At 46.7% G+C, this 14951-nt stretch overlaps 1 protein-coding gene across 5 annotated transcripts in view, besides 2 other annotated features; it reads right to left on the bottom strand.

Moving 5' to 3' along the window:
• Positions 1 to 14951, bottom strand: part of EYA2 (EYA transcriptional coactivator and phosphatase 2) — a 294002-nt gene that overhangs the window by 236296 nt on the left and 42755 nt on the right. The window contains exon 1 of one of the 5 annotated variants that reach the window (XM_047440010.1): positions 6273 to 6612. The exons of the other annotated variants lie outside the window; for them this stretch is intronic. The gene's annotated coding sequence lies outside the window, so the exon portion shown is untranslated. Of the gene's footprint in view, positions 1 to 6272; positions 6613 to 14951 lie in introns of those variants that run through there. 5 annotated transcript variants of the gene reach the window in all.
• Positions 6664 to 7356: an enhancer, noted in NCBI's record as "NANOG-H3K27ac hESC enhancer chr20:45573832-45574524 (GRCh37/hg19 assembly coordinates)". NCBI's record gives its function as "activates a minimal SCP1, AML or CMV promoter by ChIP-STARR-seq in naive H9 embryonic stem cells {active_cell/tissue: H9 hESC(naive)}" and the evidence as "EXISTENCE:reporter gene assay evidence [ECO:0000049][PMID:30033119]".
• Positions 8050 to 8743: an enhancer, noted in NCBI's record as "H3K4me1 hESC enhancer chr20:45572445-45573138 (GRCh37/hg19 assembly coordinates)". NCBI's record gives its function as "activates a minimal SCP1, AML or CMV promoter by ChIP-STARR-seq in primed H9 embryonic stem cells {active_cell/tissue: H9 hESC(primed)}" and the evidence as "EXISTENCE:reporter gene assay evidence [ECO:0000049][PMID:30033119]".

The raw sequence follows: 14951 nt of genomic DNA, 5'->3' as shown, positions 1-14951 counted from the left end.
GCAGAGGAACTAGAAAAGCACAGAGCTGCACAAAGGAGGTGCTCAACAAATCCTTGTTGAATGAATGAATGACTGATGAACAAACGGCCAAAGCTATTGATTCATCACACCGATTTCTAAAAGGAGGTTAAATGAGGCCAGCTTCTGGCTTGCTCAGAGTAAAATCTAAAGAGCCAAGCGCAACCCATGAGGCCCTGTCTGATCCCGCCCCTGACTTCTGGAGCTCAGATCCCGCCACCCTCCATCTCTCACACTGGCCTCCTAGTGGTGGTCCCTCAAGCCCCATCCCCCACCAAGCATGCTCTCCTTTCAGACATGCCCACGGCTCTCCCTGCCCCTCTCAGGCCTCTGCCAGAGAGACCTCCCTGACCACCCTACCTTAAGGAGGGTCCCTCACTACTCCTGCCCCATTGCTCGGCGGAGTTCTTCTCCATTGCATTTCTCACCCCCGGACACATTCATTACACACGTGCCTTTGTCTGTTTCTTGTCTGTCTCTACCCTCCAGAAACTATGATTCACAGAAAGAGAGACTTGTGGGCTTTCAACACCAATAGTCATGCCTGGTATAAGTAGGAGCATAATAAATATTTGTTAAGAGAGAGGAAGGAAGAGGGAGAGAGGGAAACTGACAATGTCAGGAGGTGGCAGAATTCTTCAGAGAGGCTCTGATGCTTCTGAATATTTCTCTGGGAACCCTGTTATCCCTGTTTCACAAATGAAGGAACTTAGGCTCTGAGAGGTTGAACTTGGCCCATCTGATCCTGAAATCCACACTCTCGCCCCCATCCTCTCCTGCCTGGGCCACAGATTAGTCACTTGAAGTTCAGATGACGAAAATTACCTGTATAAGGTCCCACAGCAGGTTAGTGGGGGAGCTGGGACAAGAATCTGAGTCCTCTGACGCCTGAGAGTGGTTTTATTACTCAGCTCCCTGGTGGCCCATGATGTAGAAGTGCATAGCCCGGTTGCCCTTCAGGGCTGTTGTGGGAACTTTGTTCTAATCCTCAGTGACTGGCACTCTTCTGCTTGTCCAGCAGACCCAGGATGTAGGTTATAACTGGTATCAACCAGAGTTTAGTTGCAGAGGGTAGAACCCACTACAGCTAGCTTAAGCAGGAAGGGGTTAATTCAGGCTAGCAAACGACTTAGAGAATTTCTGGGGAGGTTGGGGGCACAGACGCTAGGATAAGCTTTAGGGAATGCCAAAGCGACACCAGACAACTGGTTACTGCTACATGTGCTGTGACCAGAAAGCTGCTGGTTACAGAAAAAATCCCTCCATGATAGGCACCTTGTGGATATCTCTATCAGGAAACCATTCCACTAATGTGCCAGCCTCATGACCTTATCACACTTGCCAGAATCCTTACAAGCAACAAGGATGCCCTGTGCCCTGCGTGGCTGATGCTGTCACTACCTTGCCTAAATCCCTTCGGCAAATACCATTTCCATGAAAACCATCCAACTTCCAAACGGCAGCAAGTGCAATGTTTTACCTGAAGGCTCTTTCTGGCATATGTGGGGTATAAAGACCCCAGCTCCCTCACCCCTAAGGAGGGATTACTCAGCGGCACGTGTTATAAGCCCTTTCCCATCAGGGTGTAGCCTTAGATGCTCAGGGAGTAACCTGCTGGATCACACACCCTCTGTTACTTTCCTTCGCTTCATGCCTTCCTTCTTTATTCCCATTCTGGTGTTTCTTGGAGTCACCTCTTAAATGAACTATTGGCACTGGAGCCCTGATCTTGAGGTCAGCTTCTTGGGAACCCACACAAAGACACCATGCCTCTCAACACACATAAAGCTAGTGCCTGCTCGCTGGGGCCTCTGCTAAAGCTGTGCAGCAAGCCAAACTACTCCAGACTCTGCACAGTGACAGAAACAACCAACACGGCAGAGGCAATTTGAGTACGACCTCCGCCTTCTGAATTTCAAGGAAGCGCATGTGCCTGCTTAATGTTCCATTACTCCTAGAAACCTAGCTGCAAGGGAGTTTGGGCTTTCCTGCCCCTTGGTGGAGGAGCACCCAGAAGGAGGAGCAGGGAACAGATGCTGCAGAGTGACTCCTCATGATTTCCCCACAGCTCCAGCACCCCAAACCATGTGCAATCTTGGAAACTCAGTGCCCAGCCATGAGACCTCCAAACTCACAGGCATCATCAAGTCACAGACTCTTAGAATATCAGGGCTAGAAGGGTACTTGAGACTCCTTAGATTATTTTATGGTTGTGAAAATTGAGTCTCTGTCTGAGAGGGGAACATCGCTGCAAGGTCCCCCTGCAGATTAGTGGCAGCTGGGAAATAATAATTCAGTTCTCCCAGACTCTAGGAAAGTGATTATTTTTTATATCACTCAACTCCATGCTTCACTACATGTTATCCTGGGAGAAACCCTTGCCCTGTCCACCACCACCTTTAAACGAGCCTGGATTGATGGCTCTTTTGATTACTGGGAGCTTACTCTGTGCCAGGCACTGTGTTGAGCACTTTGCATGCACAGTGGAGAAAAACACAGGCTATGGAACCAGAATGCCAAGGTGCACACCCAGCTCCATAAATCACCTTGTGCAAGCACCTCAGCCTCTTTGTGTCATGCTATCCTTGTGCATCATAGATGCAAAATGATACTACCTACTTCATAGGGCAGTTGCAGGTGCAGAACTGGGGTTGGGACCCTTGCCAAAAGTCACACAGTGGGTAAGTGGCACAGCCAAGGGTTGCAACCAAAGCAATGTGCTTCCACTCTTAACCTCTGGGCTACACACAGACAGATACACACAAATCTTAAAATGCATACCAACCTAACAGCTACATAAAAGTATCAAGCTTTTAAGCCAATCTTGAGCAGTCCATCCATTCAATAAATATTTGGTGAGCACCTACTATGTGCCTTAGAGGGTGTGGCTCAGTTACCCCACCATCTAGCTCCATGTGCAGGCTGAGGTTAAACCCAAAACGTGGAGAAGAACAAAACAAGTCAAGAGTCAGAAAACAACTGAAATCCTGACTGCATCAGCAACCCTGATCCAGCTATACCTGAACTGAGCTCTGACCCTGGACTCTCAGTTCCTTGATCCCCTAAATTCTCTTTACTTGCTGAACCAGTTTGACTTGAGTTCTCTATTACTTTTACCTGAAAGTCTTGACTGTGAGACTAGGTTTGGCCTGACTTACTCTCACACTTAGCAGGACAGCTGTTAAAGTGTTAAACCCTCCCCACTCCCCAATCTCACTGTTAACTTCAGATTTTCCCATAAAAGGAACCGGCTCATGTATGTTTTGTATCATCTTATGAAGCACAATATAGTGTCTTTCTAAGAGGACTTAAAACATGGCCTCAACTGCCAATAGCATTTAAAGACCTTGCACTTGAGTAGGTCTTGGTATGTGGTGGCATGTCCCAGAGACACCATAGCCAAATGATCAAACACCCCATATTCTGGAGTCAGAGACTCTGCTCCAATCCCATCTCTACCAGTCTTGAGCTCCAAGACACTGGGCATATTCCTCTGAGCTGCAGTTTCCTCATCTGTACAATGCGAGTAACATTAGCACCCACCTCCTGCAATTTTTGAGAAAATTAAATGAGATAGTGCATGTATTTTCCCTGACACAATAAATAATAAATATATATGAAGAAAACAGATATACAATGACCTGGGTTTCCACAAGTATAGATTTCAACACTACATTTATGGAGCGATCATCTCAAGCTTGAATGAAGAACAGTGCTCTTAGAGAAGTGAACATAATACTTGTGTCTCTAAGTTTGGAACTGACAGTTACCTTGAAAGTAGGGTCAACCTTTTACGAATTAAACAATAATGTGTGCAGCTTTATTTTATTTTGTTTTTTTCCAGGCAACCTTACGAGAGAAACACAATAACGTATGCATCTTGAACAGAGTATTTATCACCAGAAAAACAGTTGGAGAGGATTTTCAGTGGCTTCTTTCAACAATGTTTACTCAGCACTAACCCTGTACTGGGCACCGAGGATACAGCTGATAAGAAATATTAGTCCCTCATCTTATGCAGCTTATCGTCACTTGGGGTTTTCAAACTATAGAGTCTCACCCATAGATGGGTTAATAAAATCAGTTTAGTGAGCTGTGACCAGTGTTTTTCAAAAAAGAAATAGAGTAGACCAGGGTTGGCAACCCACAGCCTATGAGCCAAACCCAGCCCACCGCCTGCTTTTATAAATAATGTTTTACTGGAACACAGATAAGCCCATTTGTTTACATGTTGTCTCTGACTGTTTTTACGTGACAACTGCTGCACTGAATAGTTGTGACAGAGATGGTATGGCCCGCAAAGCCAAAAATAGTTAGCATTTGGCCCTTTCCAGAAAAAGTTTGCCAACTCCTGGGATAGACTAATATGGTAGTAATTTTTTTCTTTTGTTTTCTTTTTTCTTTTTCTTTTTTTTTTTTTTGAGACAAGGTCTCACTCTGCTGCCCAGGCTGGAGTGCAGATCATAGCTCACCATGGCCTTGACCTCCTGGGCTCAAGCGATCCTCCCACATCAGCCTCCTGAGTGGCTGGGACTACAGGCATGCACCACCATGCAAGGCTAGTTTTAAAACTTTTTGTAGACATGAGGTCTCACTATGTTGCCTAAGCTGGTCTGGAACTCCTAGCTTTAAGAGATCCTCCCACCTTGGCCTCTAAAAGTGCTGGGATTATAGGCAGGAGACACCATGCCCAGCCATATGGTAGTTATCTTAATGCTGTTGACCAAATATCTCAGATTCACCTTCTGGGTCCACAGTAGGGCTGCACTTCTTCACTCTATTGAAAGTTATGGTCATGTGAGCTGCTTTGACCAAAGAAATATTCAAAGAAATGGTGAGTACCACTCTTGTCAGACACTTGGAGATCAGTGTGTGATGTTCTGCTCCTTCAGGATCCCCAGTGATCCAGGGCAAACGTGGAGCAGGAGCAATAAATAAATGTCTGTTGATTTAAGGCACTCAGATTTGGGGTTACTTGTTACCACAGCATCATCAAGCTGATCCTGACTGGTGTTCATAGAAAATACGAGAGCTTATCACATATAGTAAGGCAAGCATTGTTTCTTAAAACTTTCATTTCTGTATGTGTTTTGTGTGGTTTGTGTGTGTGGTGGGGACATCTGTGTGTATGCAGTTTATTGTATGTCATTACAGGGGTGACATATAAAATATGTCCTTTATGAGGATCACAGTCCAAAGTTGTTTAAAAACAGTGGTCTGGAACTTTGGAAAAAAAAAAAAACTTAGATTCCAGAGAATAACATCTAAAATATTTGAAAGACTAGACAAGAGAACCTGGGAGAAAAGTTCTAAGATGAGTTTGGGAGGGTTAGTAATGCTCTTCATGTACATGCAAAAAAAAGTCTGCTTCTCAGCCAGCCATTCCTCAACTCTTTAGAGTAGAGGTCAGCAAGCTTTTCTGTGAAGAGCTAGATGGGAAATATTTTAGGCTTTGGGGGCCAAGAGGTCTCTGACGCCACTTCTCAGCTCTGCTGTTGTAGTGGGAAAGCAGCCATAGATAACACAGAATGAATGGGTGTGGCTGCTTTCCAATAAAACTTTATTTACAAAACAGGCAACTGGCCAGGTTTGAGCTGTTGGCCTCAGTTTGCCAACTCACGCTCTAGGGGATCAAACAAAGAAGTAGAAACAGGCCAAAACTGCAGTAAGAAGAACTGACTCTTTAGATCTATGGAAGAACTAAAAGGGAGTTCGTAGAACAAAGCCCCATCATCTACGTTGGGTGGGTGGGGAGGGGGCAGTCAGTAAACTATGGCCCATGGGCCAAATTCTGGCTGCTGTCTGGTTTTGTATATAAAGTTTTATTCAGTTATATACTGTCTATGGCGGCTTTTATGTGATAAGAGCAGAGTTGAGTAGTTACAGCAGAGGCCCCCAAAGCCAAAAATATTTATGACATGGTCCTTTACAGAAAATGTTTGCTGACCGCTGGCCTATATGGCCTTACTCATACCCAGGCTCATGTTCAAATGATGGTAATCAGGGGCTTAGGGTGGACCCAGGGTCATGTCCAGAAAAGTTCTTAGAACAAAGGGAGCCCCTCGCACAATGATATTTTTAATAAAGTAAATAGGGCAACAGCCAAAAAAAGAATCAAAGTAACCCTTGGCCCTGCACCCTGGGGAGATTTTGACCGCAGTGATGCTCAAGAAATGAGTTCACAGCTAAAACGTGCTCCATAAATGTTAAAATAACAAGAACAATAAATGGCAATAAAACACAAAGCCATGTACCTCGTCTCCACGGGCAAGACCTCCTAGGGCTTTGAGCTTAGAAGTAGGGAGGGAAGCAGCCCTCCCGCTGATGGCCAGTCTTGGCAGAGGGTCCAGCAATCCTGCAGGGATCCAATGGGTGAGGTCCAGAGGAGGAAGAAGTTCAAATATAAACAGGCACTGGAGGAGGACAACCAAGGCCACTGAGACTCTAACCCCCACTGGGAAAGGGACCCAGATCCTGAGGTCAGTACTTATTCTCAAGACCCTCGAAGAGTGCTTAGGGTTTCAGACCCTCTTGGGTTGCGAGTGTGCTCTCATCCCAGGCACACCGGATCCCACATACCAAACTGCAAGCCAGCGTGAGACAGCTCAGTGTCTTCTGCACCGTGAGACCTTGCCAGGCCCACTGTCAACAGCTGATGGCTTGATTTGATTGTCCCAGTACCTCCACCTTCTGCAGCAAAGAGCCGCAGAAGGTCTGAAAAGCTTACCCAAGCACAAAATCATCATATCAAGAGCTTGTTACAAAAGCTGACTAGGCAGATAGGAGCAATGATGCATTCCCTTCCTGTAACACGCCCAGAAGGGCCCAGCAGGCCACAGAGGTGAAAGGCAGATTCCGTCTAAGATCATCAAACGCCCTAACGATGACCAGAGTCGAGTCATGAAAAGTCCAAACAAACCCAAGCTTCCCAAATCTCCAAAGAGCTCTGGGGAATGTGGATTCTGGTAATAGCATTTGTAGCAGCCTGCATTTCCGCAGGGCTCTGAGGGCTTAGCAAACACTAAGCAGCGCAACTGTGGGAACTCCATAGGCGGCCAGCAAATTCATTCCTTTTTCACAGGACAGAAACACCTGAGGTACAAGAGAGGCTGCTTAGGTTCCTGAGATGTTTTAGAGCTGGTTAAACACAGGGAATTTGGGCTTTCTAAAAATCGGTCAGTCTACTGTCCACTCTGGCTGAATGTGGCGAACTCTTAAAACAGCACTTACGAACTGCCAGGCACTGTCCTAAGTACTTTATACAAAAGCTCTCATTTAATCCACAATACCTCTGCTATGCAGGTATTATAATTATCCCCATTTTACAGATGAGGAAACTGAGGTCCAGCGAGGCTAAGGCTACCCAAATAAAGAAAGGACCTTCCTATTGCGAACTGCAACCTTTTTTTTTTTTCCAGACAAGGTCTCACTCTGTCACCCAGACTGTCACTCAGGCTGGAGTGGAGTGGCTTGATCTAGGCTCACTGCAACCTCTACCTCCCAGGCTCACGTGATCCTCCTGCTCCAGCCTCCTGAGTAGCTAGGACTACACGCAGGCACCACCGCGCCTGGCTAATTTTTGTATTTTTTGTAGAGACGGGGTTTTGCCATGTTGCCCAGGCTGGTCTCAAACTACTGGGCTCAAGAGATCCGCCCGCCTCGGCCTCACAAAGTGCTGGGATTGTAGGAATGAGCCACCAACATGTGGCCTCTTTTTAAAAAATCAAATGAATTGCCAGGAAAAAATAAATGTAGCATCTTCACCTTTTACACTCTTCTCCCTTTTTACTGGATACCTGTTCTTGGTATGAGCAGGCAGGGGCATGAATTAGGTAAGATGTGAGACATACACAAACATTTTCAAAACAGGAATTATATGCCAGGTCCTACTGGGGGCTTTGTAGCAAGGAGCTTGTTGAATCCTCTCAACAACACTATGGAGCGGGTGCTGTTTTTCTCATTTTGGAGAGGAAGGTGCTGAGGTTCAGAAAGTGCCCTGAAGATGCAGGGACACTGGTGGCTTGCATGCCCTGAGTGCTTGGTGTAGTGCCCAGCACCCACACACCTCACATCCTCCTCCTCACTGACTGCTCATCCGAACAATCTGAATAGACCCCTTTATTCCCACTGCCCAGGTGAGGAGACCGAGGCTGCACCTGCCCCGAAGCTACCGCAGCCCTTACGAACCCGCCCTGGAGTCAGGTGCCCACCACTGGAAGGGACTTTTGAGTATCTTGTCTCGAACCCTGACCCTTGCAATTGTCTCCCATCACCACAGGGATCTGCGCACGGGAGCACTGGTTGGCCAAAACAGGACCTGCTTGGCCAAAACAGGACCATGACATCCTCTCTTTCCTGGGAGCAGCCAGGCCCTCACCTGGCTCCCTCTGTCCTGGCCATTCCTGGGACTCCCCAGAGCCATCCAGGGGGAGCAGAGCAGGGAGGAGGATTTTACTTAAGCTGGGAGGTTGCTCAAGGTCTAGGGTTGGGAGGCTCCAGGCTAACCCTGGGAACTTTCAGCATCCACCCTGCTTGTTTTTGGCACAAGTCAGCTTCTTGCACTTGAGAGAAAAGGCATCTTTTTAATGAGAAAGAAAGGGGGAGAGAGAGGGAGAGATATAAAAGAAAAAGAGAGCGCAGGAAAAGATACAAGTGTGCAAAGGGTTTCAAGCCACAGAGAAGTTCTTTTACAGAACAGCATTTTGATGAATTATGCACAAATGAGGCAACAAAACATGGGGTAAGTTTCCCTTAAATTCTTACAGCTTTGGAGATGAGCAAGGCGGGAGCACGGAGGCTGAATCCAACCTAGCTTCCTTCTGCACGTTTTGCTGCCATCCTCTTTAGTTTGGGTATATGTCGTGCTTGAAATCCTTCAGGGAGAAACAGTTTCAGCTGGAAGAACTACATGCTACACACAGGCAAGCTGGCCTCCTGGGTGAACCCTCCTGCCCAAATCCCAGATCTGAGACTCCGAATGTTCCCTTGCTATGATATTCATTCAACATCCAACAGCAGTTCCCAGGGCCCCAGAGAGGCCCTCAGGCTGGCGTATTTCTCATTGATCTCACAACAACTCTGGGAGAGAGATACATTTTCTCCATGCCAGGAGAAGCTGAGACTTGCAGTGAGCAAGTTCATTTAGTCATTCAACAAACACAAGCACTTCCTTTTACTGGCACTATGCTGAAGCCAATACTCTACGTGAGGATGTCTATCGACATTACTGACATTCAGAGTGGATGGTCCTTTGTTGTTGGTGAGTGCTGGGGGCGGGGTGGGGGATGTCCTGTGCATCGTAGGATGTTTGGCAGCAACCCTGACCTCTACCCACTAGGCGCCCGCAGCACGCCTCCCCTCTAGATGTGACAGCCAAATGTCTACAGATGCTGTCAAATGTCCCCTCGGGGGCAGAGTCACTCCTGGTTGGGAATCACTGCTCTGCACCGATTAATTCAGAGAACCAGCCGGGAGCGCAGGCTCACGCCCATAATCCCAGCACTTTGGGAGGCCGAGGCGGGCAGATCACTTGAGGTCAGGAGTTTGAGAGCAGCCTGGCCAACATGGTGAAACTCCGTCTCTACTAAAAATACAAAAATTAGCCAGACGTGGTAGCACGTGTCTGTAATCCTAGCAACTCAGGAGGCTGAGACAGGAGAATCGCTTGAACCGGGGAGGAGGAGGTTGTAGTGAGCCGAGATCGTGCCATTGCACTCCAGCCTAGGCGACAGCAAGACTCCCTGTCAAAACAAACAAATAAACAAACAAAAAACAAAACAGAGAACCCTCCCAATGAGGCAGGTCTGTCAGTGTCCTCATTTCATAGATGATGGGACCTGGCTTGGTGAGGTTAAGTGGCTGGCCTTGCCCAAGTCACACAGGAGAGTCAGAGAAGGGACACAGATCCACTCCAGAGCCCAGCTGTGTGATCCCTCGAAAGCTGGGCCATGTGGGTAAGTCACATCTGCATAACTCTCTTTGGAGGCTTTTGAGGTGTTCCCTTTTAGGATGGCACCCACACTACACAACTACACAAAAATGTCTCTAAATGTGAGGAGACCTCTTGCCCCATTCCCCATCTTTTCTCTAAGAGAGTTTTCCCCCCCTAAAAATGGTACAACACAGCAATACCCTGTCTTTACAAAAAATACAAAAATTAGCTAGGGGTGGTGGTGCACACTTGTAGTCCCAACTACTCAGGAGGCTGAGGTGGGAAGATCACTTAAGCCCAGGAGGTCAAGGCTGCAGTGAGCTGTAATTGTACAACTGCACTCCAGCCTGGGTGACAGAGTGAGACTTTGTCTAAAGAAAAAAAGTAAAAAATAAAATAAAATAAAATAAAAAGGTATCTTTCCTTAGGTTGTCCACCACCCACTCCTTGGTGAGGAGGGCTAGTAACAGAAAACATGTTACTAATAAGAACTCAGTAACATTCGTTGCCAAGCACTTTTGTAAAATTCAGAACCCACGTCTAGGCCAGGCACAGGGGCTCACGTGTGTGACCTCAACACTTTGGGAGGCTGAGGCAAAAGGATCACTTGAACCCAGGAGTTTGAGACCAGCTGGGCGACATAGTGAGATCCCATCTCTGCAAAAAAATTTAAAAATTAGCTAGGTGGTGGCATGTGCCTGTAGTCTCAGCTGCTCAGGAGGCTGAGGTTGGAGAGTTCCTTGAGCCCAGGAGTTTGAGGCTACAGTGAGCTATAATGGCACCACTGCACTCCAGCCTGGATCACAGAGTGAGACTTTGTCTCAAGAAAAAAAAAAGAAAAAAGAACCCATGTCTATCATGTACCCGCCACCTGCTAAGCTCCAAAGGCCTTTATAATGTCTCATCTAACCCTCAGGACAAGCCTTTAAGATAAGGGCATGAGTATCTCCATGATACATGTGAGGAAACTGAGGCACAGAGAGGGAAGGTAACTTGCTCAACATCACACAGCAGGTAAATGTCAGAGCCTTTAACCACTCTGTTACTGCTTCTTTTAATAGTGTTTACTGAAGTCCAGGCACTTTACACATAGAAATGCATTGAATTTCTCACAGTAACCCTGTCAGATGGATATCATGCCCCTTAGTTTGCGGATTTTGAAACTGAGCCCCAGAAAGATGAAGGAGGCTATGAAAGGCCACACAGCTGAGGAGCAGAAGAGCCGGGAATCGACTTAGGAGTTTCGTTCTACTTCCGGTGGACTTAACACCCTCCTAGACCTTGAGGGAAACTGAAGGCACCTCATTACATCCTTCCAGCTCCTCTGTGAGGTGGGCTGTGCCCATTTTACAGAGGAGAGATGTGATAGGGTGCATGGCTCACCTGAGCTCAGGCAGCTCTTAGGGGCAAAGCCAGGATTTGAATGTGGGTCTGTGGGATTCCAAGACAGCCCTACCCATGGCACCATCCAGCACGGGGGTCCCCTAGTCAGCGTCCCCTGTCCAGCCTTCTCAGCCTATACGTCTCAACAGCCAGCAGGCTCGGGCTCTGGGAAGATGGGGCCTCTTGCACCTTTCCCACTGTTGATTTCATAGTTGCCTCCCCATTTATACCAAAGGAAAAAGTCAGAAATGGTGCTTGCAGGTGGCGAGACAGATGGAGTCAGGAGGCTAGGGGCCCGGCAGGCAAACCTTTCACCCCGGGGTCACTGGCCCCGTTCTGCGGGTTGCCCGTGGATGGCAAGCACTGTTCCCCTCTGACAGCTGTGGAGGTCTTGCTGGTGAGAGGCCTGGGGGTGCTCAGGCCTGGTCAGCAGGAGACAGCTGGCCATAGCCCCCGATGCCACCAGCTGCCTGGAGCTTTGGCCACCGCCCTGAGCTGGCCTGTCACCTTCCCTCCCGGAGCGCTGTGCTTGGTCCTGGCCACTCTCACAGAACAGAACATTTAACCCCTCAGGGACAAGAGGCCCACAGACCTGGGCCTTGGTCCTGGCTGCATGGGTGGCCTTTGTGCCTTTTCTTTGATATCCATATCATTTGGGTTTTGTATCTGTGGCATAGATATGTGGCCTCTGTAACTGCCGTCGTTGTTATCACTTACGTTTTATAAGCAACAGTAGCGTTGGCAGAGCAGTTAAGGATGCGGGCTCTGAATTCAGGCACCTGGGGTCTGAATCCTGGCTCTCCACACAGGACCAGAGTTACCTTGAGCAAATGATTTGACCTCTCTGGGCTTCTGTGTCCTTGTCTGCAAAACTGTCCATCACAATCCCCACCTCAAGGGCTGGGAGGACCTCAACTATTATGTGAGTTGATGTGTGAAAAGCACTTACAGCTATGCCTGGCACACAGTAAGTGCTCAATACATCTCAGCTGTTCTTATTATTGACTTGTGTTCCTGCACATTCTTTGTAGGAAGCCCACCTCTATTCATCTGCTTATGTTTTTAAATTTGAGTGAATCCTGGAAGGGCCAGATTGAGCCTTTCTTCCTCCATGAAGATTTCTGACATCCTCAGGTAGGCCTATTATATTTCTTGTGTATCTTTGCAAGATCCTCGCACGTAGTAGGTTTTTCATCTTAGAACTGCTATGAATGGCTACATTTTATTGAGCACTTACTATATGCTCAGTACTGTCCCTATGCTTAACATGCCCTATCTTATTTTACTCTCCCCTTATTTTATGTCTTAATAATATATCTGTTTCATAGATGAGTAAACTGAGGCTTAGAGAGGTTAAATGACTTAGCCAAGGTCACAGCAGTAATAAGTGGCATAACTGGAACTTCATGAACTTCCATGGATGAGCAAACCCGTTATGGAAGGTAGGAGGGCTGGAGATTTTGCTGTGTCATCTGTTAGACTCTTACAAATAGAGGAGACAAAACAACTCTAATTTCTAAGAATATCAGTCCTGCTTCCTCATAGCACACTTCTACTGCAAATTAGTTTCTGTGTTAAGGATTTACAGTAAGTCATTTTCTTTCCCTGGAAGATGCATGTATTAGTCAGGACCCTTTCTGTTGCAAATAACAAGAACTTTAGCTCAAATTGGCTTAAATAAAAAGGGGAACTTATTGACTCACATAACTGGAACCCCTAGGGGTAGTTAGCTTCAGACATAGCTTGATCAAGGGATTTTTGAAAAAAAATAAAAAAATAAAAATAAAGTCATTATCTCTCTTTGTCTCCCCTCCCCCCATCTCTATCACTCAGGTTTGCTTTCTACCACCTTGAGTTCATTCTCAGGAAGCCTCTCCTGCAAGCTGCTAGAAAAGATGGCTCCCAGTGTCTTTAATCTGACCCTACCAGCTCTGCAACCCTAGTGGTGAGATGGTGCCTTTTCCTTAACAGTCCCAGCTAAAATTCAGGAATTATTCTGATTGGCCCAGCTTCGGTCACATGCTGATCCCTGAACCAATCGCTGTCACCAGGGCAATGCTGAGTGTTCACTAGCTGGATCTGAGCCATAAGCCTACCCATGGCTGGGGCATCAGAATTGGCCCCTCCTGAACTAGGTGGACTGAGAGTGGGGAAGGAGTGTTTCCCAAAAGGGCAATCAACCTGTTCTTATGTCAAGAAAGTGGAATGGATCTAGACTGATTAAAAAAGACATTATTGAGACATCTGGGAGAATTTGAATACAGAGTGAATGTTAGGTAGTAGTACAGTATTAATGTGTGGTCATAGTACGGTTGTTTTGTAGGAGAATGTCCTCATCATTCAGAGAAACACACTGTGGTCACCAGCATCCAAGATACTCCAGTGGTCTCTGCCTCCCTGGTCTTCACACCCCCGTGTAGTCCCCTCCCACACAGTACCTGGGTTGGTCTGTGTGACCAATAGAATATGGCAGAAGTGATGGTATGTCACTCTGACATAAACACTGACATAAAACACTGTGGCATCCATCCAGGCTTCTTGCTCCCTCTCTTCCTCTCTTCCTCTCTCTCTCTCCACTTGCTTTCAGGGAAGTCAGCCAATGTGTCATGAGCAGCCCCAGCCCCATGAAGAGGCCTATGTGGGGAGGAACTGAGGCCTCCAATCAACAGCTACATGCATGAGCTCCACCATGCCTGATGTGAAGGCAGCCCCAGCTCACACTTTGATTATAGCCTCATGAGAGACCCTGAGTGGAGGACCAGCTCAGCTGCTCCCAGATTCCTGACCTACAGATATGATATAATAAATACTTGTTTTTTTATCTATTAAAGTTTGGGGTAACTTGTTATGCAGTAATAGATACTACTGCACATGCTGAAGTATTTTGGGGTGAAGAATCATCATGTTTGCAAGTAACTCTCATGGTTTCACAAAAATTTACAGAGAAAGGAAAGGGTAAAGAAAATGTGGGAAGCTTTAAACAATGACTACGTCAATGGCACAAATATATGATGTTCACTGTGCCATACTGGTACATTTTCTGTAGGTTTGAAATTTTCCAAATTAAAGAGCTGGGGAGAAAAAGAGAAGAGTACAAATTTTGGAGCTGAGCTGCCTCGATTTGAATCTGGACTTTATTTACCAGCTGTGTGTCCTTAGGGATACTTAACCTCTCTTTGCCTCAGTTTCTGCGTCTGTGCAATGGGGATAAGATAAGATCGATCTCATAGGATTGTGGTGAGTGGATTGATGTATACACAGCTCTTAAATCAGGGCCTGGCTCCCCATAGGATACACCTTTAATATGCCATGCTCTCTTTGAAACCCCTGAGCCTGGCACGCAGACCTGGCAAATAGTAAGCCCACAAGAAATATTTGTAGAATGAATGAATGAATGAGTTGATTTTCTAACCAGTGGTTTGCAAGCTTCTCTTGGTTTTGAAAAGTTCCTCTGTTAGCTAATGTGGCCGGAAAGGTCTCTCTGGAATTCAAGAATTCCAAATTGCCTTGCTGGAAGTACGTCCTGAAAGGTTGGATTTAAAAAGGACAAAAAAAAAAAAAAAAAAATCAAGGCATGATGAAATGTGTGCATTGGACTCTCAACCCAGAAAACCAAGGA

Source organism: Homo sapiens, chromosome 20 (genome assembly GCF_000001405.40).
Source record: "Homo sapiens chromosome 20, GRCh38.p14 Primary Assembly".
Lineage (NCBI taxonomy): Eukaryota > Metazoa > Chordata > Mammalia > Primates > Hominidae > Homo > Homo sapiens.
The sequence above is the reverse complement of the archived record's forward strand: the minus strand, read 5'-3'. Positions and strand labels throughout refer to the sequence as shown.